The sequence below is a fragment of the Homo sapiens genome, chromosome 6, assembly GCF_000001405.40.
Source record: "Homo sapiens chromosome 6, GRCh38.p14 Primary Assembly".
Lineage (NCBI taxonomy): Eukaryota > Metazoa > Chordata > Mammalia > Primates > Hominidae > Homo > Homo sapiens.
The window spans coordinates 71,179,903-71,184,951 of NC_000006.12; the positions used below are offsets into that span (position 1 = coordinate 71,179,903).

Consider the following 5,049-nt stretch of genomic DNA (forward strand, 5'->3'; position numbering starts at 1 on the left):
AAAGAAAGGATAGAAGGAAGAATATCTACGAGCAGGCTTTACTTATTTCAGTGGAATTTAGCCTTTTGTTAATCACAATGAGAACAATGAGAATCTGATGTAAACCACTGATCCTCTCTCCCTGAAAAAATAGACACATTTTTTTTTCTGACAATTTCATGTAGTACTAGTCCTGGATTCACTGACGGATCCTTATTTAAAACTGGTTAGAGTAGAAAGATCTTAGTTTCATTTTAAGGAATTATAAATAATATCTCAAAATTACTGCATGCATAGTAATTGATGTTCTGAAATGTCTGTTGGAATAGGGCACATTCTTACAGAATGAGGATAAATTCTGAACAGGTTTTATAATCCTCTATTATCAAAAACAGAAATTATAGGTTGTGTAGCTTTTCTTACCTTCATATCTGATATGGGCAAAATTATAAGCTATGAAGTCGGGATGTATTTTTTTTTTTTTAGAAATAAGAAAACATTATAATATGTTCATCTCTACCAATAACCTTTAAGGTCAGATAATGTTACCAGTTATTATCAAAGTGTATATATATCAAAGGCATTTGCTTCATAGGAAGTAAAACAGTCTAAGTCCAAGAAGTAAAAATGGAAGATGTAATAGCTACTTGGTGCTTTCAAGTTTATACAATTGTCTAGAAAAAAGCAAGGCAAGGAAAGATTTGAGATGTTTTTAATAACACTTGTATTTTAAAAATTGAACTATGTTGCTAAAAGGAATAAAGAAATTGTGTTAGGTAACCAGAGATCTCTTTAAACATGGATATTAATGTTAAACATGCAATCTATTAATCACAAGTTGCTGGGGGATACAATATAAACCCTTAAAGTGACTTTATGAAAGTTTTATTTCTGGTTTAAGAACTCATTTTTACTTCTCATTGGGAAAACTGGAAACCACTTCTCAGAACAGTAACTTTAAGTTGTGTAAGTATAGAATGAAATACATATAGGAAAGTCAGAGTAAAGAAATGTGTCTTCAATATCTTTTCAGAAGATATGGTAACCCATGTATTTATTTCATATTCTCCAAAATACATAGGAAAGGGCTCCAGGACAATTTGGGCAAAATTCATCTTATCTGTCATTGGTGGTGCTTTCTATTCATTTTAAATATACTGTTAGGGCCTTAGGAAGAATTTCACTTTCATTAATAAAGTCAGGCTATCTTTCCTAGAGGGACAAGCTATTTTTATGCTGAGGGGGAAAGGAAACCATCATAAGTGCTCTCACACTGATGCATTCCTGTTGCAATGTACTGCAGCACCAATGTCATCCTTAGAAACAAAATCTATAACTAGAGCTGTCATTTAGCTCTAAAGAAGGCCATACTCTGGCAACCCCTGATCAAGATTCAGTTCTCTTTTTATAGCCTGATTTGATCTGAAGCAAACACCTCCAGAGTATACTCACAGAACAGATGGATTCACATGTGAAAATTGTCTGGTAGGGCTTTTATTGTGTGGTTTTATTCCTGCAAAAGAATAGGGGGAAACCATCTCTTGTTTCCTTAGTTTTTCTTAGAGCCTAATATAGTCAATGTAATTACCAGTTCAGTTAAACAGCTGTTTGTTGAGCACTTTTTAATATGACAGACCCTGTGCTTGGTACTGAGAATAAGATCGATAAGACCCAACATCTGCCCTGAGGAACCTCACAGATAAAGGGCAAGAGCTAATTCACAAAGAGATGGTTTTAATACAGTATTAGTCAATGCTTTGAGAGATGTTGCTACAGAGGATGGGGAATGCGGGAAGGCACCTAGCCCAGCCTGGAGAGATAGGAATGCTTAGTCATTCCAAGAAAGGAATGCAGTGGGGTGGGTGAGGGTGTTACAAGCATAATGGTTAGCATGAGCAAAGGCACAGGACTAGGAACAATATCACATGTTTGGGAGTTGCTGGAGTTAGAAGGAGATGTGGCCAGAGAGACAAGCAGGGTCCACATTGCCCATCCCAGGGAGGACCTTGTATCCTCCCCAGATATAGTAATATCCATGTCTTCATCTGTTTTATTCCATGTTTTTAGCTGTTTATAAGAAAGACACCTGTGGGCGAGTCTGAGACAGAGTTAGAGATTAGTTAACTCTACAAGTTATCAACATGTAGACACAAACTGTAAAATGAATGTGACCACTCAAGAAGGTCACATTGAAAGAAAGGGTCTGAAGCAAACCCTGGAGAACCATAACATTTAAGAGTCAGTGAAAAAGGATGAGAAGGAAAGATAAAAATCTAGGGGGACAACAGGACAGCACCATCCAGTGAGATTAAAAACAGAAATTGTATCTAATAATCGGAGATAATAGTGGGTTAGTTTAAGTTAAGTGGGTTAGTGGGAACAAAGGGCAAAATGCAACACATTGAGAAGTGAATGGCAGCAAGTGTAATCAACACTTAGAAGAGACTTGGATAAGCATGAATGGATAGTCTGTTTTAGGCAGGTTGCTTGTTTTCTCTGAAGGAAAATCCTGACTACATTCAAAGGCTGACTACATTTAAAGGTTTAAGTGGAAATAAAGTAGAGTGAGGGAATATTGCTGGAGCCAATTTTATGTGAAATCAGAAGAAAGTGGAATAAAGATTCTATTTTGATGAGTAGTCTTTCAACCAGAGAAGGAGCACATCTTCCTTTGTGAATGAATAGAGGGAAGCAGTGGATGTTAGGGCAACTTTAAAAACCATTTCAGTAGTGCTCGCTTTGGCAGCACATATACTAAAATTGGAACAATACAGAAAAGATTAGTATGGCCCCTGCACAAGAATGACAGCCAAACTCATGAAGCATTCCATTTTTTTTTTCCTAATTAAAAGGCACAGAGAGACAAGTTAGATAAAGAAGCAAAACCCAATGGATGCTGTCTTCAAGAGACCCATCTCGCATCCAGTGACATCCACAGGCTCAAAGTAAAGGGATGCAGAAAAATCTACCAAAGAAAGGAAAAACAGAAAAAAGCAAGGGTTGCTATTCTAATTTCAGACAAAACATACTTTAACCAACAAAGGATAAAAAAAGACAAAGAAGGGCATTACAAAATGGCAAAGGGTTCAATTCAACAAGAAAAACTAACTATCCTAAAAATATATGAACCCAACACAGGAGCACCCAGATTCATAAAGGAAGTTCTTAAAGACCCATGAGGAGACATAGATAACCACACAATAATAGTGGGAGACTTCAACATCTCACTGACAGTATTAGACACATCATCAGTAAAGAAAACTAACAAGGATATTCAGGACCTGAACTCGACACTTGATCAAATGGACCTAATAGACCTCTACAGAGCTCTCTACCACAAACCAACAGAATATACATTCTTTCTGTCTGCACATGGCATATACTCTAAAATTGACCACAATTGGTCATAAAATAATTCTCAGCAAATTCAAAAAACCGAATTCATACCAAACAATTCTTGGATCATGGCACAATAAAAATAGAAATAAATACTAAGAAAATCACTCAAAACCATACAATTACATGGAAATTAAACAACCTGCTCCTGAATGACTTTTGGGTAAACAAAGAAATTAAGGCAGAAATTGAGAAATTATTTGAAGCTGATGAGCACAAAGATACAACATACCAGAATCTCTGGGACACAGCTAAAGCAGTGTTAAGAGGGAAATTTATAGTGCTAAATGTCCACATCAAAAAGTTAGAAAGATCTTACATTAACAACCTAATATCACACCTAGAGGAACCAACCCCAAAGTTAGCAGAAGAAAAGAAATAACCAAAATCAGAGCTGAACTGAAGGAAACTGAGATGTGAAAAACCATACAAAAGATGATTAACAAATCTAGGAATTTGTTCTTTGGAAGAATAAATAAGAGTTCTAGTTAGACTAGTAAAGAAAAAAAGAGAGAAAATTCAAATAAACACAATCAGAAATGACAATGAGGATGTTACCACTGACCCCACAGAAATACAAAAAAAAGAAACCCTCAGAAACTACAATGAACACCTCCATGCACACAAATTAGAAAACCTAGAAGAAATGGACAATTTCCTGAAACATACAACCTCCCAAGATTGAATCAGAAAGAAATGGGATCCTTGAACAGACCAATAATGAGTTCTGAAATTGAGTCAGTAATAAAAAGCCTACCAACCAGAAAAAGCCCACCAACCAGAAAAAGCCCAGGACCATAAAGATTCACAGCCCAATTCTACCAGATGTATAAAGGAGAGCTGGTACCATTACTAATGAAACTATTCCAAAAAATTGAGGAGGAGGGACTCCTCCCTAACTCCTTTTATGAGAGCAGCATCATCCTGATATCAAAACCTGGCAGAGACACAACAAAGAAAACTTCAGGCCAATAATCTTGATGAACATAGATGCAAATATCCTCTACAAAGTAGTAGCAAATTGAATCTGGCAGCACATGAAACAGCTAATCCACCACAATCAATTAGGTTTTATCCCTGGGATGCAAGTTTGGTCCAACATATACAAATCAATAAATGTGATTCATCATATAAACAGAACAAAAAACAAAAACCACGTGATCATCTCAGTTGATGTTGAAAGACTTCATAAAATTAAACACCGCTTCATGTTAAAAACCCTCAACAAATTAGACATTGAAGGAACATACTTCAAAAATAAGAACCACCTATGACAACCCCACAGCCAATATTATACTAAATGAGCAAAAGCTGGAAACATACACCTTGAAAACTGGAACAAGATAAAGATGCCTTTTCTGTCCACTCCTATTCAACATAGTACTGGAAGTCCTAGCCAGAAGAATCAGGCAAGAGAAGGAAACAAAATGCAACCAAATAGGAAAACAGAAGGTCAGACTATCCCTGTTTGCAGATGATATGATTCTATACCTAGAAAACCCCATAGTCTCAGCCCAAAAGCTCCTTAATTTGATAAACAACTTCAGCAAAATTTCGGTATACAAAATTAATGTACAAAAATCAGTAGCATTCCTATACACCAACAACATCCAAACTGAGAGCCAGATCAAGAACATAATCTCATTTACAATAGCCACAAAAAGAATAAAATAC

General features: G+C 36.0%; 1 pseudogene, besides 1 other annotated feature; it reads left to right on the forward strand.

Annotated features, from left to right (window-relative positions):
- Nucleotides 1,604–1,898: a silencer, noted in NCBI's record as "tiled region #8662; K562 Repressive non-DNase unmatched - State 24:Quies". NCBI's record gives its function as "represses a minimal TATA promoter and a strong SV40 promoter by Sharpr-MPRA in K562 cells {active_cell/tissue: K562}" and the evidence as "EXISTENCE:reporter gene assay evidence [ECO:0000049][PMID:27701403]".
- RNU6-411P (RNA, U6 small nuclear 411, pseudogene) lies at nt 2,710–2,816 on the forward strand (annotated as a pseudogene).